At 44.1% G+C, this 23,833-nt stretch overlaps 1 protein-coding gene across 1 annotated transcript in view; it reads left to right on the top strand.

The window, feature by feature from the left end:
* The window catches only part of DDB1 (damage specific DNA binding protein 1), a 33,655-nt gene that overhangs the window by 439 nt on the left and 9,383 nt on the right, over window positions 1-23,833 (top strand). The window contains exons 2-21 of the mRNA NM_001923.5: window positions 976-1,124; window positions 2,593-2,709; window positions 3,083-3,304; window positions 5,774-5,888; window positions 6,959-7,056; window positions 8,530-8,688; window positions 9,573-9,656; window positions 10,255-10,371; window positions 10,970-11,072; window positions 16,100-16,175; window positions 16,274-16,382; window positions 18,181-18,359; window positions 18,457-18,620; window positions 18,698-18,805; window positions 18,961-19,168; window positions 20,583-20,678; window positions 20,772-20,883; window positions 22,249-22,372; window positions 22,707-22,871; window positions 23,590-23,684. Of these exons, the coding sequence (NP_001914.3) occupies window positions 976-1,124; window positions 2,593-2,709; window positions 3,083-3,304; window positions 5,774-5,888; window positions 6,959-7,056; window positions 8,530-8,688; window positions 9,573-9,656; window positions 10,255-10,371; window positions 10,970-11,072; window positions 16,100-16,175; window positions 16,274-16,382; window positions 18,181-18,359; window positions 18,457-18,620; window positions 18,698-18,805; window positions 18,961-19,168; window positions 20,583-20,678; window positions 20,772-20,883; window positions 22,249-22,372; window positions 22,707-22,871; window positions 23,590-23,684 (2,600 nt within the window). The remainder of the gene's footprint in view (window positions 1-975; window positions 1,125-2,592; window positions 2,710-3,082; window positions 3,305-5,773; window positions 5,889-6,958; window positions 7,057-8,529; window positions 8,689-9,572; window positions 9,657-10,254; window positions 10,372-10,969; window positions 11,073-16,099; window positions 16,176-16,273; window positions 16,383-18,180; window positions 18,360-18,456; window positions 18,621-18,697; window positions 18,806-18,960; window positions 19,169-20,582; window positions 20,679-20,771; window positions 20,884-22,248; window positions 22,373-22,706; window positions 22,872-23,589; window positions 23,685-23,833) is intronic.

Genomic DNA, 23,833 nt, shown 5'->3' with positions numbered 1-23,833 from the left:
GAGAACAGGGCGGGCCCAGTGAGACAGAGGAGTGTGAGTTGGTTGTGCGGTGTCGTTTGGGCCCGGAGATTGGCTTTCTGTGGCCAGGAAAAGGGGAGGTGGTAATGACGACTTTGGGGTCAAGATTTTCCTGTGGGGAAGTCTGGGGGGCCCAGGAGGTGGAGGGATGTGAGGAATGCCCGCATTATCCCACAGAGGGAGAGGAGCCCTCTTCAGGCTAACCCCTTTGCCTGGGGCTGTTGTTTACATGAGGGCCCTGCTGGAGAAGAGGGTTTGGTTTGCCTGGCCCAGTGCTGGGTTTGCCTTGTTGACGATGCGCTTGGATTGTTAAGGACACCGATGTTCAGAACCCGGGAAGAGTCATCTTAACCCACATTCTCAGCTGAATATGCAGACCCCAAGCTTGCATGTTTATATACACCCTAATCATGATTCCAAAACAAAACTGTTGTTCAGAGTTGGAGGTAGCTGAGTGTGGATGGAGGTATTGGTAGACTGCCAGGAGGGCAGGGGGTGTGGACAAAACAGTGTTTTCATATAAAGCTCTGGGACTTCTTCATTTGACTTGGTCTGTCAGATAAAAGTTTTGTGAGACTTTAGATGAAGACTGGAAGAAGTGAACACTTTCTCCGGCATTCTCAATTAGAGCCTGCCACTGTAACTGTAATAGAGTAAAATTGGAGGGGCAAGAGGCATGAGAAGGGATTACGCAGTCATTGTCATTTGGAGGACACACGGCTCTTAGGTCCAGTCCAGTTTTCTTAGTCTGATTAGGGAAGTAGCTTTGTTGAATGCATGAACTGAGACTCTTTGAGGTGCCGGATTTGGCAAGAAGGGGAGTAGCTGGAGGGAGTTGGAGAAGTATGTGAAGTAAATGAGAATTCTGGAGGTATTTAGACATAAGTGATAGGATTATTTTGAAGGGATGGGAGGCCCTTCCCCTGAGTTCAAAAGTTAGAGGGTCTGTTCTTTCAGGACACTTTACTTCGGCCGAAGACTTAAACCTGTTGATTGCCAAAAACACGAGATTAGAGATCTATGTGGTCACCGCCGAGGGGCTTCGGCCCGTCAAAGAGGTGGGCATGTATGGGAAGATTGCGGTCATGGAGCTTTTCAGGCCCAAGGTAAGTGTTGCAGTTGGGACAAGCAGTGGAGGGGGAACTGTTGGTCGTAGGTTGTTTTATGTTATTTTTGTTTGTTTATTTATTTTCTTTGAGACGGGGGTCTCACAGTGTTGCCCAGGATGTCTTGAACTCCTGAGCTCAAGCAATCCCTCCACTTTAGCCTCTGGAGTAGAGTAGCTGGGGTATTGTAGGCATGCCACCGTGCTTGGGCTGTGTTAGGTTGTTTTGCGAATTCTTGGGATGGGTGGAATATGCTTTAGGAGAAAAACTCTTCTCTTTTTTCTCTCTTTGGATAGCAAATTTCAGTATGTACTCTTGACCAAGCTTTCTAGAAGTAAAAGGAGAGATTCATTAGGGAAACATTTATGAAGTTGACTTCTTTAGAAGGGAGAAATTAAAGCAGTTTGTTTCAGAGGATAGGCTACAGAGTGGGGCAGTCCTGGCTTCATTTCTTGTTAATTCTGACTTTAGGTGCCACTTAAGGCACCTTTCAGATCAAATCCCCTGGGTTGTTGTGACGATGAAATGATTCAGTAACATAGGGCCTATCATATAGCAAGCATTTACAGTTATGTTAACAATTACCAGGCCGGGCATGGTGGCTCACGCCTGTAACCCCAGCACTTTGGGAGGCCGAGGTGGGTGGATCACGTGAGGTCAGGAGTTCGAGACCAGCCTGGCCAACATGGTGAAACCCCATCTCTACTAAAAATACAAAAGTTAGCCGGGTGTGGTGGCACGTGCCTGTAATCCCAGCTACTTGGCAGGCTGAGGCACAAGAATTGCTTGAACTCAGGAGGCGGAGGTTGCAGTGAGTGGAGATGGCGCCCATTGCCCGGTGACAGAGCGAGACTCCATCTCCAAAAAAAAAAACACCAAACAAAAAAAACAATTACCATCAGTATTTTCATTATTTTAGCGCAAATGTTTTCATCCAAATCACCACCACATTGCTTTATGTTGTCTTAACTGAATCTGGCAAGAAAGCAGTGGGTTCAAAATTTTAATTATAACCCTTTGAACAAAACAGCAATTTTTTGGAGTCTGTGTTAAATAAGTAGGACTTTGTTGATCCATTTTAGCTTCCGTTGTTATTCCCACATTTTTTTTCCTCTTTCTTCAAATACTTGGGGAGGAGTGGAGGAGGCATTACATTCATCTTTCAGAATTTGAATGGGATGATTGAGATTAGCTTGAGATTGAAATAGATGAAGACTTTGTTTGTAGAACAGAGAGATGGAGAATCATGAAAGTGAGAACTAGATGTTTACCAGCTTCAGTTCTGGCTTTTTGTACATGCCCTTAGGGTGTATGTGTACCTAGTGTGGGTTACAAGCTCACCATGTATTTTCTCTTTAGGGAGAGAAGAATTTGGAAAATTCTTAAAGAATTTGGTGTGCTTAAAGACTGGACAGGTTGTTCCTGTTTTAAAAAGAACCTCTTTTGATAGCATAATATTGGTTTCCAGGGGGAGAGCAAGGACCTGCTGTTTATCTTGACAGCGAAGTACAATGCCTGCATCCTGGAGTATAAACAGAGTGGCGAGAGCATTGACATCATTACGCGAGCCCATGGCAATGTCCAGGTGAGGTGGCTGCTTTAGGCCAATGAAAGTTTTCTAAGTAGGGCTGTCATGATTCATGGAAAAAATTAAAGTGCTGGGGGCAGCTCTCTATTCGATCAGAGAAATAAGGAGAAGACACTATGGGTTTGAGCTTTTTGGAGAAAGGACTCCTGTAGTTCACTCAAGACCCAAGGGACAGGGTAATAATTCATTGAGATTCAGTGTTTCATGAAAAAGGCATGCACTGACATTGGGGCTCCAACTATTTGGCCTATCAAATAGATCCATTAGTTTTAATACCTCTCCTAAAATTTTTCTGCACAAGTGGTGCCCAGCGTCCTCTGTTGCTCTGTGGATGTTGAGGTTCTTCCCTAATCCCGATTTTGTTTCTCAGGACCGCATTGGCCGCCCCTCAGAGACCGGCATTATTGGCATCATTGACCCTGAGTGCCGGATGATTGGCCTGCGTCTCTATGATGGCCTTTTCAAGGTTATTCCACTAGATCGCGATAATAAAGAACTCAAGGCCTTCAACATCCGCCTGGAGGAGCTGCATGTCATTGATGTCAAGTTCCTATATGGTTGCCAAGCACCTACTATTTGCTTTGTCTACCAGGTACTGGATCAGGAAGAGAGAGCGAGAAACTGTGAGGTTGATGTGATAGGAGTTGTTTTTGCTAACTGGCATGTCTGGGTTTGGTAGGATAGAGAGAAGTGTTTAATGTGTTTGTCCTGAAATGTTTTGAACAACACAATTAATATGGGTCAGACTTTCGTTGCTTCTTGAGTGCAGTAGTACTTATTGTGGAGGCAGCAAGCTCTCTGGGGCTTGTAGCAGGTTTTAATCCTGAGATTACACTCTGGTTGTGGGCCTTGGGAGATTTCATAGGATGACCCAGTTTATACTTTGATTCTCTTACTGGAGTGCTAGGGGATTATTAAAACTTAGTTGTCAAGAAATTATCTAGATCTTGCCTTTATATTAAGCAAAGAGAAATTGTCTTGGTGATGCCTTATATGTGTTTTTTAAGAAGAGGTTTACATTTTGTCCAGTAATCACTTACTGGTGACTTGCTGGCTTATTTTAATTTTATTTTATTATTTTTTTTGAGACAGAGTCTCACTCTGTTGCCCAGGCCGGAGTGCGATGGCCTGATCTTGGCTCACTGCAACCTCCGCCTCCTGGTTCAAGCGATTCTCCTGCCTCAGCCTCCTGAGTAGCTGGAATTACAGGTGCATGCCACCACGCCCAGCTAATTTTTGTATTTTTAGTAGAGACGTGGTTTCACCATGTTGGCCAGAATCGTCTCAAACTCATGACCTCATGATCCGCCTGCCTCGGCCTCCCAAAGTGCTGAGATTTCAGACGTGAGCCACCGTGCTCGGCAACTTGCTGGCTCTTAACTTCTATTTTAGTCTGCCTAAAACTGTAGCAGAGCTGATCCTGGGCAGCTGTTCTCTGGTCCAGATCTGTTAAGCGGGGGTGGGGTGGTAGAGCACCAGACTAACATGCCAGTATCTTGGTAAAATCTCAGCCCTTTAACAAAGGGCCATGCAGCATAAGATCATTTCATTTGCATGTGGCTGAATAAGTGATGGAAGGAAATGATAGTCCAGTTCCACATAGAGTGTGTTGGCACATAAACAGTTTGATAGCCTTGTTATATGTTGGAGGTGCTGATATATTTTTGTATATTTCTTAGTGTTACTGTAGTTCTGAAGCTATTGGAATAAGACCCAATTGAATAAGGTTGAAACCAGGAGATTTTGTTTGATCTTACTTAGTATGAGTTAAAATAAAAACTTAGAATTTCTCTATGTTCTTTAGTTTTGTAATATTAGGTCATTAAAACTTTGATGTTGTTGATTATTCAAGGCTGGTTGTTCTAAGCTTCAGGGCTGCCAGCTGTGATCAGATCTTCATTTCTGCATGTGTGTCTCAGAGGCCCAAATCCACACTTGAACTTTTTGCAAAGTTGTGTCATAACCCTACTCATTGATGGGAAAATGTTTTCATCAGCCAAAAATTACTATCTTCTGTTTTATGCCAGAAATTCAATTTGACAAATATTTAGGTACTTAGTGCTATGTGAAAGGTATTCATGCTTCAGGAGCTGTAACAGTGACTAAGATGTGATCCCTGCCCTGAAACACATTGCTGAATTCCTTCCATAACTTCTTTGTTGAAGCTGTCTTCCACTGGCTGAGTGTAGCTTTCTTCTGGTCCCTGCTTTTTAGCATCTTAAAGGTGACCTTGGCAGTCCCAGGACTGACATGAGTCATAATTCAGAAAAAGGAGGGGAAGATGATGTTGACAATGGCAGGACTGAAAGTTTTGACAACTTTAGCGGAGCAATCAATTGTGTTCTCTCTACCATTATTCCATCAGAATGCTTTTAAGAATTGTATCAATTTAAAAAAAATCTCATAGGTGTAGCTTATCAGTGCGTGTTTCACTTAGCTGTTTTGTAAGTTTCTCGAGGCTAAGGAACACACACAGGCACACACACTGTATCTCTTTTTTTTTTTTTTCTGAGATGGAGTCTTGCTCGGTCGCCCAGGCTGGAGCTCAACCTTCGCCTCCTGGGTTCAAGTGATTCTCCTGCCTCAGCCTCCCGAGTAGCTGGGACTGTAGGCACGCGCCCCCATGCCAGCTAATTTTTGTATTTTTAGCAGGGACGGGGTTTTGCCGTGTTGGCTAGGCTGGTCTTGAATTCCTGACCTCAGGTGATCTGCCCACCTCAGCCTTCCAAAGTTCTGGGATTACAGGCGTGAGCCACTGTGCCTGGCACACAGTATCTCTTATAGTACCTAGTGCAGTGTGACAAGTTCATTTTTCTAATTCTTTAAACCTTTCTTGGTTGGTTGAATTGTTAAGAATGGTAGATCTCAGATGCTGCAGTCTACCTAGGAATTCATCCCAGGCTCAGCTAGTGCTTGTCAGTATAGTGATGGATAAGGGTGGGAGGGCTGACATGACAGGACTGTCAGATGCTGGGTAGTGGTGGCTTATTCCTTACAGCACCTCTCTCTAGCCCAAGGCTCACCCTTCCTAAGGGCTAACCATTTTACCTTTCCCCCCCAGGACCCTCAGGGGCGGCACGTAAAAACCTATGAGGTGTCTCTCCGAGAAAAGGAATTCAATAAGGGCCCTTGGAAACAGGAAAATGTCGAAGCTGAAGCTTCCATGGTGATCGCAGGTTGGTAGGGGGTTTAGGAAATGTGCCTCCACCTGGGTCTAGGCTAGTTCCCTGTTCTTGTTCGCTCCCTCACCTTCTCTGCCCTTCGTTTTGGCGCTCGGTATTATTGAAGGTGTGCATTGTTTACCACTCCTTTATGTTTTCTTTCTCTAATTGTGCTTTGTTTTTTTCTGTCTTTGAGATTTTCTGTTTTTCACTTCTCCCCCCAAAAGTATAACTTGTCTTTTACTTGGGTGGAGGGATTGACTATAAAACATTGAGATTGATTTGCACAGTGGCATATGGAAATGAGTCTCATTATTTTATTGCTGGGCATAACATTTAAAACTGAAAGGAAGCCAGGATCTATAGTCCCAGCTACTCAAGAGGCTGAGGTGGGAGGTTCACTTGAGCCTAGGAGTTTGAGTTCAGCCTGGGCAGCATAATGAGACCCCATCTCTTTAAAAAAAAAAACAACAACAAAAAACTGAAAGGGAGCAATAGAGCTTATCTGATTTCTTTACCTCATAGATGAAGAAACAGGGCCAGAGGGACCTGCCCATGCCTGTCCATGATTGACAAAGTCTGGGCTAGAATCCAGGCCTCTTCACTCCTTGTCCTAAGTCTGCCCCTACATTATGTTTGTCTCACTCAGTAGGGAAGTTTTAAAACTCTTAAGAGAAAATTGGCTCTTCTCAGTGGTAGCCCTGATAATGGGGGGAAGTTAAGCTAAGGAACAAGAGTGGAAACCAGGAAAAAAAAGTAAAAGCTTTTACTTGGAAAGGATTAGAAGTTGAGAAGAAAAATGGGGGAGAATGCATGGGGAAGAACATGGAGAAGACTCCCCACCCATAGGAATAGTCGAACACCAGAAGAGTGGCAGTAAAAATACTACCAGGATTAGATAATGGCCAGTTAACAAATTCTAAGAGTCTCGTAAAGGCTATCATGTTCCCTGGGCTTTGATGTCCTTTTTAAAATAATGATGACCTTAAAGTTTGCCTTGGGGCTAACTAGACCTGTACTTTTGCCAGTCCTGGTTTGGCAGACCCAGAGTGCTGAGCATTCTAATTTTGCTGTCTTTCCTGCAGTCCCAGAGCCCTTTGGGGGGGCCATCATCATTGGACAGGAGTCAATCACCTATCACAATGGTGACAAATACCTGGCTATTGCCCCTCCTATCATCAAGGTGAGCGCAGTCCTACCTTTTTTTCCTTTCATCTTTTCTTTCCTTGTCCTCACCTTGCTCCTCCCTTTCTCTTATTTATCAAAAGGAGATTCACAGATGCCTGTTACACAATTTACTATGTATATAAGGTATTGCGTTGGCCATTGGGAATACAGAGAGAGATTAGCCTGGATTTGCTTACAGAGAACTTGCTTGCTAACTTAGATAAATGATAATCAAAATAGGCTTCCCCTTTTCATTGACTGGGGCAACTTTTTTTGTCAAAGAGACAGGGTCTTACTCTGTCGCTCAGGCTGGAGAGCTAGAATGCAGTGGCATGATCGTAGCTCACTGTAGCCTTGAACTCCTGGGCTCAAGTGATCCTCCTGTCTCAACCTCCCAAGTAGCTAGGATTACAGGCATGAACTACCACATGGGGCAACTTTAAGAGGGGAAAATTTTGGCAGTTTCTTTTTTTTTTTTGAGACGGAGTTTTGCTCTTGTTGCCCAGGCTGGAGTGCAGTGGCACGATCTCAGCTCACTGCAACCTCCGCCTCCCAGGTTCAGGCGATTCTCCTGCCTCAGCCTCCTTAGTAGCTGGGATTACAGGCATGTGCCATCACGCCCGGCTAATTTTGTATTTTTAGTAGAGATGGGGTTTCTCCATGTTGGTCAGGCTGGTCTTGAACTCCCGACCTCAGGTGATCCATCCGCCTCAGCCTCCCAAAGTGCCGGGATTACAGGCATGAGCCACTGTGCCCAGCCGTAATTTTGGCAATTTCTATTGCATGTAATGTTTTCAGGGCTCAAGTCATATAAAGTAATATATTGATAAATTATAAAGGCTAAGAAAGTCAAAAATGTCAAGGACTTAGAATATCAAGTTGTAAAAATTAAGCCTTAAAAGTTTCATTTTACTTTCTTTTTGAGAAAAAAGAACAAAATCTAGCTGGCTACAGTGGCAAGTTCCTGTAGTACTAGCCACTTGGGAGGATGGCTTGAGTCCAGGAGTTTAAGGCTACAGTGCACTGTGATCATGCCTGTGAATAGCCACCGTACTTTAGCCTGGGTGACATAGAAAGACCCTGTCTTTAAAAAAAAGAACAAAATCTGTGGTAGCATTGCCACAGTGGTAGGGGGTAATTAGTGGTATTAAGAATAAATAACAACATTTGTAGTAGCATGCATAGTTCAGTAGATTTTGGCAGCAGCTTCCTATTCTGTGTATTTCTATTTTCCTGCAGAATGACGACATATCAGTAAACATATAAGATATATTGATGGAGCGCCTCAGAAAATTATCTTCAAAATAAAAAAGCTCCCCATTTTCTATTAATGGGCAATAGGATCTATCCTCATTTTCATGTAATGTTATCTGAGCGATTTGTCTGCTGGTAAAATGGCTGGGTTTGGTAAAGGGAGTGGTCCAGTAGGGTTTGTTTTCTGGTGTAGAAGATGCTGAATCTCTAATGACTGTTTCCTTCCAATTGGCAGCAAAGCACGATTGTGTGCCACAATCGAGTGGACCCTAATGGCTCAAGATACCTGCTGGGAGACATGGAAGGCCGGCTCTTCATGCTGCTTTTGGAGAAGGAGGAACAGATGGATGGCACCGTCACTCTCAAGGATCTCCGTGTAGAACTCCTTGGAGAGGTAGAGCTTGTTCTCCCTGTTCCTCTACAATGTTCTTTTAGGTTCCTAAAGACACCAAATGTGTGGTCCCACACCTCAACTCTGGGAATTATGTTACTTAACACCTAACAACAAACTGTTGTTCCTGCTGTGGAAGTTGACTGTTGAATGAGTTAGGTATTGGAGCATCTCACAGGATCCTGTGATAATCTATCCAAGCAGCCTGTGAGAAAAGGAAAAGAAAGGGAAACAGAAAAGGATATAATCTGGAATTAAAGATCAATCTAGCTGGTTTCAGTGGCTCACACCTGTGATCCCAGCACTTTGGGAGACTGAGTCAGGCAGATTGTGTGAGCCCCAGGAGTTCGAGATTAGCCTGGGCAATATGGCAAAACCCCATCTCTACAAAAAGTACAAAAATTAGGTGGGTATGGTGGTGTGTGCCTGTAGTCCCAGCTACTCGGGAGGCTGAGGTGGGAGGATCACCTTAGCCCGGGGAGGTCGATGTTGCAGTCAGTGAGCCATGGTGGTACCACTGCACTCCAGCCTGGGTGACAGTGAGACCCTGTCTCAAAAAAAGAAAAAAAAAAGATTATTGCTGATTTCAGTTCTGGGAGGAGGCTCCCAAAAAGTTTAATATTAATACTTAGGCAGTATCTTTTGGAGCAGGAATATGCAAGACAAATTATAGATTTTTCTGAGTGTAGGGATGCAATAGATGAAGAATCAAAAACTTCAGAGATTTAGAAACATTTGCTTAGTGTGACCTGGGAATTTGAAACAGAACTGTTCTGAATTATGGCTGCAGTTGGGAGTTTTCTCAGCAGATGTCTGAGATGTGGGTAGTATCTGGATCCCACGTAGGGTCCATTCTCATTTCTTTCACGTTGCTGACTTTCTTCCAGACCTCTATTGCTGAGTGCTTGACATACCTTGATAATGGTGTTGTGTTTGTCGGGTCTCGCCTGGGTGACTCCCAGCTTGTGAAGGTGAGAAGACACTTGTTTCTGGTTTCTTTTTTGCTGTACTCACTGTTTCTTCATCAAATTTCTCCTATGTTTGGCACCTCTCAGAATCTCTCCATTTTATCCACATCCCTACTATCCAGCTTTCTACTTGGTTAATTTAACATCCTACCCCTGACTAGCTCTTTGCCTTTGTGGTTCATTCAGCAAATTTGCCAGGCAAGGTGCTAGGTGCTGTGGATACATTGATGAACAAGACCCAGCTCCTACCTTCAAATAGGTCATAGTTTAATGTAATGGACTTCTTCTAGAATATGAAAACTTCGGACCTTCTCTGCAGAAAAATGCATGCAAACATTTTACATTAATTTTCAAACATTCACTACTTCTCTGAAATCCATCCATGGACTCTAGGTCAGCAATCCTTGGCTGATTAATGGGTCACCTGTGGGACAACCATATTCTTTCGTCAATAGTCCCCTTCTGGAATCATCCCTTGGAACATGAGAATGGCAGATCTAGAAACTAGTTATTGAGAGTTTCTTTTGGACAATAACCATCTCTTTTGGGTGGGTCTGTTAGGGTGTTCTAGGACTAACATAACATTGTTCTTTCTTATTAGCTCAACGTTGACAGTAATGAACAAGGCTCCTATGTAGTGGCCATGGAAACCTTTACCAACTTAGGACCCATTGTCGATATGTGCGTGGTGGACCTGGAGAGGCAGGGGCAGGGGCAGGTAAGGGCCATTCTGAAAGTGGATAGTTGGTATATGCCCACTCAAACTGTGTCCTCCTAGCTATGCTTATCTAGAATGGGGAGGGTGCACTGAAAATACTTTTAAGAGCCCCCTCATGAATCCCAGTGATATAAGGATAACTACTGTTTATTGAGTGCCTATCTTGGTCTGCCAGGCACTTTATATACATTATCTCTAATTACACAAGTACCCTAGATAGGGATATTTGGCCATCTCAGAAGTGAGGAAAATTAGGGCTGAGAAAGATTAAGTAACTTTTTCCAAAGTCACCTAACTTAATAAGTGGCAGGTGTATCTAACAGATCCTGTGCTCATTCTAGTAAACTAGGTCCCAGCGATCTAAGCAAGCTTGCTAGGAGCAGTGGTAGAAGCTTTTTGCTTCCTGGACTAGGATGTCCTGTCTGCTCTGTAAATTTGAAAGACTTTGGAAATCAACCTCTGCCAAGTCTGCATCCTCAAACCTAGCCCCACAATAAAGGTTCTTGGATTTAGGTATACCGTGTTTACTTTCTGGGCATCAGTATGACTGGCCCAGTATCTTGAGGGGGTTCTTTAGAAACGTTTTCTCTGCTTGCAGCTGGTCACTTGCTCTGGGGCTTTCAAGGAAGGTTCTTTGCGGATCATCCGGAATGGAATTGGAATCCACGAGCATGCCAGCATTGACTTACCAGGCATCAAAGGTAGCTTTTTTGGTGGGCATAGGATGTAGATCTTACATGAGGGACTTTGGCCTTGTTACATGTTGTGAAGGCGTTTTGGTGGGAGCCAGAGGAAAGCAGATCAAGTGAAGAGTGAAAGTCGTAACAACAGATCAGAAGCTTAAACATATCTGAAAGTATAAAAGTAAACTTTAGAAAAAAAAAAAAAAGAAAATACTACTGATCAAAATTGGTAGTGGAATAGAGGACTAGGGGATTAAAAGATTATAAATTAAAATTAATGTTGTTTATATGAGGCAACCGATAGAATTCATAAAGAAAGGAGAGACTGAGGATATTTTATGAAGATATAAGTATAAATGTGGTTTCTAGATAAAAAATATAAATCTTCCTAAATTCCAGGAGAATTTTAATAAAAAAAAGATCAGAGGCTAGGCGAGGTGGCGTGGCTCATGCCTGTCATTACAGCACTTTGGGAGGCCAAGGTGGAAGGATTGCTTAAGCCCAGGAGTTTGAGACCAGCCTAGGCAACGTAGACCTCATCTCTATAAAAAAAATTAAAAATTAGCCAGGGGTGATGGTGCATGCCTGTGGTTGCAGTTACTTGGTTCTAGCCTAGGTGGAAGATCACTTGAGCCCAGGAGGTTGAGGCTGTAGAGAGCCATGATTGTGCCACTGCACTCTAGTTTGGGCGACAATGAGACCTTGTGTCACCAAAAAAAAAAAAAAGAGAGGCTACACAGTGAAAGACATTTAGAATGTATAAGCGTAACCTAAAACAGTATGACAGAATTGATATGGAACATAGCTGTCATGTCAGTAAATGTAAATGTCCTGTTTGAGGACAGCATAATCAGATTAAATCATAAAACAAAACCACCTTAAAGTTGTATATAGGAGGCACATCTTTAAAAGAGTAATTCTGAAGGTAGGTGCAGTGGCGTGTGACTGTAGTCCTAGCCACTTGGGAGGCTGAGGCAGGAGGATTGCTTGAGTCCAGGAGTTTGAGACCAGCCTGGGCAACATAGCAGGATCCCATCTCAATTTAAAAAAAGGAGTAATTCAGAATATGAAAAAAAAAGTATGGGAAAAGGTCAATAAAGAAATAGAAGTATGGCCAGGCATGTTGCCTGACACCTGTAATCCCAGCACTTTGGGAGGCTGAGGTGGGTGGATTACCTGAGGCCAGGAGTTCGAGACCAGCCTGGCCAACATGGTGAAACCCTGTCTCTACTAAAAATACAAAAAATTAGCCAGGCATGGTGTGGGTGCCTGTAATCCCAGCTACTCGGGAGGCTGAGACGGGAGAGGCACTTGAACCTGGGAGGCGGAGGTTGCAGTGAGCTGAGACTGCGCCACTGCACTACAGCCTGGGCCACATAGTGAGACTCCATCTCAAAAAAAAAAAGAAAAAAAGAAAAGAGAAGTATATGAAATTGCAAAGGAAGAGATCATATAACTACAAACCCAAGATAATCAACTAAAAAACTACTATAGACAATACAAATTCACTAAGATAGCAGGATGTAAAAGTAATGTACTGAAATTAATAGCTTTCATGTAAACACAGTCAATTAGAAAGCATAGTAGAGGAAAGGGGGCAATTTACCATAACAAGAAAATGATTAAGTACCAAGGAGTACATTTAACAAAATTGTGCAAAACCTATACAAGGAAAACTTAAAGATACTCCTGAAGGAGGAAAAGAACAAGTTGATCAAACGAAAAAGACACACCAAGTACTGCAAATCAGTATTATAAAGCTGTTCTCTCTTTATATTTAATGTACCTGAATATGTATACAATGTTTCCTTGACTTAGACAAGTCCAAATGGAAAAAGGAAGAAGCAGGCATAACCAGGAAAACTTTAAAAAGAGCAATGAGAGGCCGGGCGCAATGCCTCATGCCTGTAATCCCAGCACTTTGGGAGGCCGAGGCGGGCAGATCACAAGGTCAGGAGATCGAGATCATCCTGGCCAGCATGGTGAAACCCCATCTCTACTAAAATACAAAAAATTAGCCGGGGGTGGTGGCGCGTGCCTGTAGTCCCAGCTACTCGGGAGGCTGAGGCAGGGGAATCACTTGAACCCAGGAGGCGGAGGTTGCAGTGAGCCGAGATCGTGCCACTGCACTCCAGCCTGGCGTCACAGCAAGACTCCATCTCAAAAAAAAAAAGAAAAAAAAAGAAAGCAGTGAGACATGTTAGCCCTACCAGATACTGAAGCATACTGTTAAGCCTCTATAATTAGAAGTGTAGTATTGCTGATGAATAGGCAGAGTCTAATGGGCAGATTCAGAAGTCCAGAAATGACATAATTACATGTGGAAATTCAGTGTATGATAGTGGTGGCTTCTCAGTTCAGTGAGTAAAGTTGGGACTTTTTAAATTTTTATTTGTATTCATTTTTTGAGATAGGGTCTCACTCTGTCACCCAGGCTGGGGTACAGTGGCATGATCACGGCTTACCATAGCCTCAATATCCTGGGTTCAAGAGATCTTCTCTATGTCAGCCTCCCAGTAGCTGGGACTCCAACCATGCGCCACCACGCCTGGCTAATTTTGTTTGTGTTTGGTAGAGGTAGAGACAGGGTCTCCCTATGTTGCCCAGGCTGGTCTCAAACTCCTAGGCTCAAGCGGTCCTCCCGCCTTGGCCTTCTGAAGTGCTGTAATCACAGGCATGAGCCACTGAGCCTAGCCTAAAGTTGGGACCTAATAAATGGTGTTTTTGGGATAATTGATAGTCATTTGGGAAAAGACAAGTTTGGGTTCATACTGCCTGCCAAATGTACACTTGGCTAGAATCTAAATGGTTGAAAAACTTAATGTAAAAAAATGAAGCCATAACTATGACTCAAAGTACAGAAGCCAAAAAGAAAGATTGATAAATTCCAACTATATAAAAATAAAACACTTCATAGCAAAAGCAAAACAAAACACTATTAGGTAAGTCAGAAGAAATGACAAACCAGATAAAAATATTCTGTAGTTCATCTTATAGACAAAAGGCCCAGTCTTCCTAATTTATAACATATTTATAGAAAGATCACTAAATTTTCTGTCCCCAAACTAGCAAAGGACATGAATGGACAGGCAACAGTCCTGAGAAATGCACATTAACACCAAACAGCAGTACTCTACTAGATGACCAAAATCCAGAAGTTTGACCACACATTATGTTGGTCGGGCTGTGAGAAAATAAACATGCTTGTGCATCCTCTATAGAAGGGAATTGGGCAATATCAAAGACAGCAGTTAGCGATTTACTTAGTAGTCCCAGTTCTGAGCCTCTACCTGACCTTTATATGTATAAAGTGACATAAAAATACAAGCTTATTTCTTGTGGCATTGTATGTTATAGCAAAATACTGAATAAATATAATGAGAAGGGATTTGTTAATCTGCATAATTTAATAATTATAGATAAATGATTTACACAATTAAATACTGTGTTCTGATAAGGGCTTCAAGCATATATTGTTCAATGAAAGAACAAGGTGCCAAATAGTGCATGATAGACTATTTTATATTTGCATTTGTTTGTAATACTCTATTTCCTTAAAGTAAAAAAAATTAAGCTTAGTGTTGCATAGTGGGCCTGTAGTCCTTACTGTTCAGGAGGCTGAGGTGGGAGGATCACTTGAGCCCAGGAGATCGAGGCCAGACTGGAGCAACATAGCAAGATCCTCCCACACCCCATCTCTTTACCAGAAGGCTAAACAAGATGCCTTTATTGATTACTTGTTTGGGGGATGGGTTGGAGGGAGGTATGGGAATGAGACTTTTCTGTGTACTTTTAAAAAATAAATTTAGGCTGGGTACAGTGGCTCACACCTGTAATCCCAGTACTTTGGGAGACCGAGTGGGCAGATCATGAGGTCAGGAGATCGAGACCATCCTGGCTAACACGGTGAAATCCTGTCTCTACTAAAAATAGAAAAAATTAGCCAGGCGTGGTGACACGCACCTGTAGTCCCAGCTACTCAGGAGGCTGAGGCAGGAGAATCGCTTGAACCCGGGAGGCGGAGGTTGTAGTGAGCCGAGATCGTGCCATTGCACCCCAGTCTGGGTGACAGAGCAAGACTCCGTCTCAAATAAATAAGTAAATAAATAAATAAATAAATTTAGACTTTGGGTCATGGAAATGTATATCCAATCCCAAATTTAAAATAGGCTCAAAACAGCTTTAAAATTATCTAACTTTTGGCCCGGCGTGGTGGCTCACGCCTGTAATCCCAGCACTTTGGGAGGCCAAGGTGGCGGATCACGAGGTCAGGAGATCGAGACCATCCTGGCTAACATGGTGAAACCCTGTCTCTACTAAAAATACAAAAAATTAGCCAGGTGTGGTGGCGGGCACCTGCCTTCCCAGCTACTCGGGAGGCTGAGGCAGGAGAATGGTGTGAACCCGGGAGGTGGAGCTTGCAGTGAGCTGAGATCGGGCCACTGCACTCCAGCCTGGTGACAGAGCGAGACTCCGTCTCAAAAAAAACAAGCAAACAAACAAAACAAAACTATTTAACTTTTTAGAGCCTTAAAACCAAGAAGGAGCAGAGAGGGGGTTCCAGCTCAGGACTCCATGTTCCAGCCCTTCCAGTGGTGTCAGGCTGCCATGTCTATATATATATATATATATATATATATATATATATATATATATATATATATATCTATCCTTTTTTTTTTTTTTTTTTTTTGAGACAGGATCTTGCTGTGTCACCCAGGCTGGAGTGCAATGACATGATCATAGCTGCAGCCTCTTTCTCCTAATCTTAAGCAATCCCCCCACCTCAGCCTCCCATGTAGCTGGGACTATAGTTTTGTGCCACCACACCTAGCAAGTTCTTTTGTATTTTTAGCAGGGACAAGGTCTCTCCATTTTGCCCAGGCTGGTCTAGAACTCCTGGTTCCAAGCAGTCCTCCTGCCTCTGCCTTCCCAAGTGTTGAGATTATAGGCATGAGCCACTGCCCCTGGCCTGCCCTGTCCGTAGATATGCATGCTAAGTGTTGGTCTGTCCTATGCATCTGAATCCTTGGTCCTTGTTCCAGGATTATGGCCACTGCGGTCTGACCCTAATCGTGAGACTGATGACACTTTGGTGCTCTCTTTTGTGGGCCAGACAAGGTAAGGATGGGTCTAGTGCCAGCTGTAGGTGCTGGTGAGAAGGTTGTGAGGTGGGGAAGCTGGTCCCAGGCTGACCCAGGCCCTCCATTCTGCTGCAGAGTTCTCATGTTAAATGGAGAGGAGGTAGAAGAAACCGAACTGATGGGTTTCGTGGATGATCAGCAGACTTTCTTCTGTGGCAACGTGGCTCATCAGCAGCTTATCCAGGTGATAACTGAGAAAGGGGCAGGTGTTACCATATACTTGAATTGACCTAGATGCAGTACAGAGCACCACTGGATTTTAAAACAACCAATTTTTATGGCTCCAAAAATAATGTAAAAATTCTAGGGAAAAAATTACAGATAATCCACTACTCAGAGATCACAACTCTTAACCTTAGAGTTGCTCCTTTTAGCTTTATTTTTCTTCTGCAAATGTCTGTGTATTTATTTACATTTTCTTTTATAGACTCGGGTCATTATATATATAAACATAAAAATATAGTTTCGGATCCTATTTTAGCACTAATTATATCTTCCGAGACACTCAAATTTTTTCCCTTTGTTAAACTAGTGATACATCCTTATTTATAAAATTAGAAAATGCCAAAATGCACAAAAAAAGAAAAAATCATGATGCTACCATCCAATATGACTCTTGGCAGCCCTTTCCACATACTAATTATAACCGAAGCTTACCCTATTCTGATCCTTACTTTCAATCTATCTGCAATACGGGGGCAGATAGCCTTCTGGCATATTGTTATCCACGAGAGCCTCATTTCTGACACCCTTCCACCCCTCAGCAATTTTTTGAAGTTTGGAGTGACCCTGACATCCTTCAGCTTTTAGCACTCTCTCCTTACCTTCTGAGCTGTTCTTCACTCTGTGGCCAGAGTCTGTCTTGCCTTTGGTGGGTAGGGCACTGGAGTGCCTAAGGATTAATGAACTGTCTCTGTCTTTTTATCCACCTGGTTTTCCTTTTAGCCACCTGGCAGTGGTAGATTGGTAAAACCGGAGGGAAAGTTCTGTCAGTTTGCAGACCAAGTGTGGGACGTGCCCAGATACTGAGTCATTGCTTTGTCAGTGTTATCTAACTATTGGCCTGAAGACTGGCACCAGCTCACCTATTTATTATTAAAGAGCTTTCATCCTTATATATAAACTCAATTGTGCTAGGTAAGATGAATGAATAGATAACAGTGTCACCAACCTACTTCCTGTTTTATTTCAGTGATAAATTTATACAATATATTTCTATACAATTTTGTAATCTTTACTAAGGAACTTTAAATAATTTAAATGGCTCATACACAGTAAAGAACTTAGATATTTTAGAGGTCTGATTTGGGGGTTGAGAAAAACTGCTAAGACTGGTGGTCACAGTCAACATGGTGGCTCACGCCTGTAATCCCAGCACTTTGGGAGGCCAAGGCAGGTGGATCATGAGGTCAGGAGTTCAAGATCAGCCTGGCCAACATGGTGAAACCCCATCTCTACTCAAAAAACAAAAGTTAACCAGGCATGGTGGCATGCGCCTGTAATCGCAGCTACTTGGGAGGCTGAGGCAGGAGAATGGCTTGAACCTGGGAGGCGTAGGTTGTGGTGAGCTGAGATTGCACCACTGCACTCCAGCCTGGGCAACAGAGAGAGACTCTGTCCCAAAAAAAAAAAAAAAAAAAAAAAAGCCAAAAAACTGGTGGTCACAGGGTCTTACTCTATTCATATCTTCCCACAGGATGCAGTTTGTATTACCCAAGTAAGTCTCAATTAGAATGAAATAGGCCTTTTCCCCACCAGCTGTAGGTTTGTAAGCTGTAAGCTACTTTTAAGCTGGCCTCCTTCAGGCATTCATGCAAAAATGACATCTATTGTAATCATTAGCAGGACTTTGGGGAATAAGAAATAGAAGCCTCATGTAGCTTATTCGTAGGGCTCTATTAGGGCTGCATTTACCACCTTTCCACTCCTGTGTGGACCCTGGCAGATGCTTGGAGACATTTGTTCATCTGCTGTTTATCTAGATCACTTCAGCATCGGTGAGGTTGGTCTCTCAAGAACCCAAAGCTCTGGTCAGTGAATGGAAGGAGCCTCAGGCCAAGAACATCAGTGTGGCCTCCTGCAATAGCAGCCAGGTGGTGGTGGCTGTAGGCAGGGCCCTCTACTATCTGCAGATCCATCCTCAGGAGCTCCGGCAGATCAGGTGTGTGTGTTTTTCTGTCTGCTCGCTTTCCTCCTCTTTTCTCTAGGACTTCTTTGAGCCTTGGATTCCTTCCTCTGCCATATTCTTCTTTGTTCAGCCACACAGAGATGGAACATGAAGTGGCTTGCTTGGACATCACCCCATTAGGAGACAGCAATGGACTGTCCCCTCTTTGTGCCATTGGCCTCTGGACGGACATCTCGGCTCGTATCTTGAAGTTGCCCTCTTTTGAACTACTGCACAAGGAGATGCTGGGTGGAGGTATGTGTCATTTAGGGACCTGGGTTGGGACAGAGTCAAAATGTGGAACAAGAACATAATGTCCCCCTTTCTCACAGAGATCATTCCTCGCTCCATCCTGATGACCACCTTTGAGAGTAGCCATTACCTCCTTTGTGCCTTGGGAGATGGAGCGCTTTTCTACTTTGGGCTCAACATTGAGACAGGTGAGAGTAGTATTTTGAGTGAGGGACTCTTTCAAAAATAGAGTATTAGAATTACACAGAATTCTTAGTCCCAGGGTTCTGCTTTTGAACTTTCACAGGCCAGCTTTTTGTCCTGTTTTCTTTCTTCCTTTCTCCTGATGTCATTCTCTCTGTAGGTCTGTTGAGCGACCGTAAGAAGGTGACTTTGGGCACCCAGCCCACCGTATTGAGGACTTTTCGTTCTCTTTCTACCACCAACGTCTTTGCTTGTTCTGACCGCCCCACTGTCATCTATAGCAGCAACCACAAATTGGTCTTCTCAAATGTCAACCTCAAGGAAGTGAACTACATGTGTCCCCTCAATTCAGATGGCTATCCTGACAGGTGAGTCTCTTTTTCCTTATTTAATGAGAGCTATTGATTGAGGGGGTCATGATGTTTTCCTCAAACCCTTACCTCAAAGCCTTTTTCCGGTGTCAAAATCATAACTGAGATGGGAAGTATAGTGCAGAGGTTCTCAAAACTGGCTACCCAATAGAAACACTTGGGAAGTTTTTTAAAACTACAGGATTTTTGGAATCCTCAGTGGGTCTGAGGTTGAGCTCTGGAATCTGTATTTTCAGAAAACTTATCAGGTGATTCAGATGACTGTTTCATAATCCCTAATTTAGAGATCATTTTGTGTCCCTCTAGAGCAGGAATTCTCAAAGGGTGTCCCCAACCAGCAGCTACAGCATTACTTGGGAACTTGTTAGAAATGCAGATTCTCTGGCTGGGCATGGTGGCTCACACCTGTAGTCCCGGCACTTTGGGAGGCCGAGGCAGGAGGATCATTTGAAGTCAGGAGTTTGAGACCAGCCTGGCCAACATGGTGAAACCTTGTCTCTAATAAAAATACAAAAATTAGCCAGGTATGGTGGTGTGTGCCTGTAATCCCAGCTACTTGGGAGGCTGAGGCAGGAGATTCCCTTGAAATTGGAAGGTTGCTGGGTGCAGTGGCTCATGCCTGTAATCCTAGCTCTTTGGGAGGCTGAGGTGGGTGGATCACCGGAGGTCAGGAGCTCGAGACCAGTCTGGCCGACATGGCGAAACCCCATCTCTACTAAAAATACAAAAGTTAGCCGGGTGTGGTGGCAGGCACCTGTAATCCCAGCTACTCAGGAGGCTGAGGCAGGAGAATCACTTGAACCCAGGAGGCAGAGTTTTCAGTGAGCCAAGATCCCACCATTGCGCTCCAGCCTGGTGACAAGAAAAAAAACTGTCTTAAAAAAAAAGAAACTGGGAGGTGGAGGTTGCAGTGAGCTTAGATTTCACCGCTGCACTCCAGCCTGAATAACAGAGCTGAGACTCTGTCTCAAAAAAAAAAAAAAAAAAAAGAGAGAGAGAGAGAGGAAAGAAAAGAAAGAAATGCAGATGCTCAAGCCCCACCCTGACTCACAGAATCAGAAACTCTGGGAGGGGGCCCAGCAGACTGTTTTGACAAGCCCTCCAGCCAACTCTGACACAGGCAGTAGTTTGAAAGTCACATTCCTGGAGCGTTGATTTTTTTAACTGGTTGCACATTATCATTAAATGGAAAGCTGTTAAAAATCTCAGCCTAGGCTCACCCAGACCAATGAAATAAGAGTATCTTGTGGATGGGACCAGGAATCAGAATTGTCTGTCTCTCCAGGTGATGTTTAGCATGGAGTCAAAGCTGGTGTAATCCTGCCTTGTTTTTCTTCCTCTGTGGAGTTGCCTCATAGAATCTTTGCCTTCCTTGAGTCTCCTCAGTCTAAACCCAGACCCTTCTTTCCAGCCTGGCGCTGGCCAACAATAGCACCCTCACCATTGGCACCATCGATGAGATCCAGAAGCTGCACATTCGCACAGTTCCCCTCTATGAGTCTCCAAGGTGAGGCCCAGGGTGGGAGAGTGGGAAGTGGGGGTTGGTGTAGGGTGCTTCTGACTTTCTAAGTGACACTGTTGTTCTGTACTTGTTCTGCAGGAAGATCTGCTACCAGGAAGTGTCCCAGTGTTTCGGGGTCCTCTCCAGCCGCATTGAAGTCCAAGACACGAGTGGGGGCACGACAGCCTTGAGGCCCAGCGCTAGCACCCAGGTAAGGGCAGTGGACAAAGAAAGATGACCTTAGAGCAGGGGCCAGCAAGCTTTCTGTACAGGCCAGGTAGTGAAGGCTTTCGGCTTTGCAGGCAGTGTGGTCTCAGTTACCACTGACTGTTCAACTTTGCCATCGTAGCCTGAAAGCAGCTGTAGGCAACAGGTGAGCATAGCTGGCTTCTATAAAAGTTTATTTTTAAAAAACAGTTCCTACTTGGTGGCCTTGCAGCATCTGTCACCATCAGTTTGGGTCCTTTGTAGAGTGGTCGAATAGAGGAGGAACATGGGGTTTGGAGTCCGACAGAACGGGCTTCCAGGTTTGTTTGTTTGTTTTTTTTTTAAGACAGAAACCAGCTTTTCAAAAGTGCCTACTGGGTTTATGTTATGTTATGTTATGTTATGTTTTATGTTATGTTTTATGTTATGTTATGTGTTATGTTTGTTATGTTATGTTATGTTATGTGTTATGTTATGTTATGTTATGTTATGTTATGTTATGTTATGTTATGTTATGTTATGTTATGTTTGTTATTGAGACGGAGTCTCACCCTGTCGTCCAGGCTGGAGTGCAGTGGCACGATCTCGGCTCACTGCAACCTCTACCTCCCAGGTTCAAGCGATTCTCCTGGCCCAGCCTCCTGAGTAGTTGGGATTACAGGCGCGTGCCACCATGCCCAGCTAATTTTTGTATTTTTAGTACAGATGGGGTTTCACTGTGTTGGCCAGCCTGGTCTCGAACTCTTGCCCTTGTGATCTGCCTGCCTCGGCCTCCCGAAGTGCTGGAATTACAAGCGTGAGCCACTGTGCCTGGCCTGGCTTCCAGGTTTATTGCTAGCTGTGTGACCTTGGGAAAGCCTAAACTTCAGTTTTCTTATCTGCAGAATGAGGCAGATAACAGTCTGGAGCTACACATACTAGGCTCAGTGGTGATACCAGCTGGTCATTTTCTTCCATGTATTCTCTGCCTTTCATGTTTCCACATATCTGCGATAGGACCTCCCTCCGTAGTCCAGAGTTGAAGTCTTCATGGCTTCTGTTTTTATTTGAAGTGCCCCCCTCCTCTTCCCATTGAGGGTAGTGGAGTCTGTCCCCATTAGGTCACCTGAGTTCCTTTTTAGCTGTGCTTGATTGACTTGAAGCATCACTGTTTTGTCTTTAATGACCCTTAGATTTTTACTGTTTGGGATTGATGTTTCAACTACATGCCTCCTCTGAAACACTCTCCTCAGGCTCCTTGAGCTGCCAGCCATCAGAGTTCTTGGCTAGCTGCAGCCTTTGTGTCCTGATCTGACGGGTCCCTTCACAATGATGTCTCAGCACTTCTTCTGTGTTTGAGAAGGATGATGTGCATTCTCTCTGTTTGCAGGCTCTGTCCAGCAGTGTAAGCTCCAGCAAGCTGTTCTCCAGCAGCACTGCTCCTCATGAGACCTCCTTTGGAGAAGAGGTGGAGGTGCACAACCTACTTATCATTGACCAACACACCTTTGAAGGTGCACATGAGCTCTTTCGATAATTTTTATCTACGCCCTCCCTAATCCAGGCTGTTCTGGGCTCTGGTACCTGCAAAGCCTGACAGATGTGGCAGACTGTCCTAGGAGGAGCAGAAAGGAGGGGTGGGAATTCTGTGAGATGGCAGTGAGTTTGGAGGGCTGGGCATCCTCTCCTTAGCTTAGGCTGGTGGGGGATGGATAATCTGATGAGACAGGGACAGCAGGTGGTACACGCTTTGTCACTGCCTAAGCCACAGGCCTCAGAAATACGGGGTTATGTGTGCGTGCAGATATGGGTAACCTGTCATCACGTAGTCATCTCTCTACTCTCTAGTGCTTCATGCCCACCAGTTTCTGCAGAATGAATATGCCCTCAGTCTGGTTTCCTGCAAGCTGGGCAAAGACCCCAACACTTACTTCATTGTGGGCACAGCAATGGTGTATCCTGAAGAGGCAGAGCCCAAGCAGGGTCGCATTGTGGTCTTTCAGTATTCGGATGGTAAGTGGGCGCAGTCTCCAGTTTCTGAGGGATGTGAAATGCTGAGAAAGTCAGCAGGCCATTGTGAGGTTTCAGAGAGCCTCAGTTAAGCAGTAGAAGAAGTTGGGTTCATTGCTGTAAAGAGCTATTCTCTTCTTTATTTGATTGAATTTTGGAGCATGTGAACAGTACACAGTAAAATTTAGCTTACATTTCTTTCTTTGCTACTCTTTGAAAGGCCAAAAGAACAAAAGGGAGGGGTGGGAGAAGTGAACGATGGGTAAGGGAATCTAGTGACAACAGGTATAAAAATTCAGAATCTTAGGTTTGTTTTCCACTTGGTTGCTCAGGCATTTAGGTGCTCTTTCCAGCTTCAACTCTGTGTTTATATTTTAATATCTTTTCTCGTTACACCCACCCAAGATGGCTCTAAAGACTATCAGCCCGGAAATCTCAGATCAGATAGCTGAAATGGGATCTGGTTTCCATCTTGAGAGAGAGATCTAGAGTTTCAGGGCGAGGGGGCAGATCCTAGATACCAACTGGATTTCTCTGCACATTATCTTGGGGCTCATACTTCACGTGGTCATTAACTCCAGTAGATACTGAGTCTGTGTTGTTTTTTTAGATGAGTGGTTTTGGGGGGCAAGAATTTGTACCACAGGGGCAACCAGAGGATTCTTTTGATGAGGTAAAGTGTGGGCTCATAGAGACTCAAACATATTTTTTCCACCCCCAGGAAAACTACAGACTGTGGCTGAAAAGGAAGTGAAAGGGGCCGTGTACTCTATGGTGGAATTTAACGGGAAGCTGTTAGCCAGCATCAATAGCACGGTGAGGCCTGGACCACTTGGTACTTACTTTAGGCTGCCCATCATTGTCTGCAGAATGTGTCTCTCTTAGGTTGTCTGGGGCCACGTGTGTGTCAGATCTGAAGGAGAACAAAGTAGCGGGTGTGGAGGATAGAGCTCTGAGTTGAGAAT

The sequence above is a fragment of the Homo sapiens genome, chromosome 11, assembly GCF_000001405.40.
Source record: "Homo sapiens chromosome 11, GRCh38.p14 Primary Assembly".
NCBI lineage: Eukaryota > Metazoa > Chordata > Mammalia > Primates > Hominidae > Homo > Homo sapiens.
Note: the sequence above shows the minus strand (reverse complement) of the source record. Positions and strands in the feature narration are given on the sequence as shown.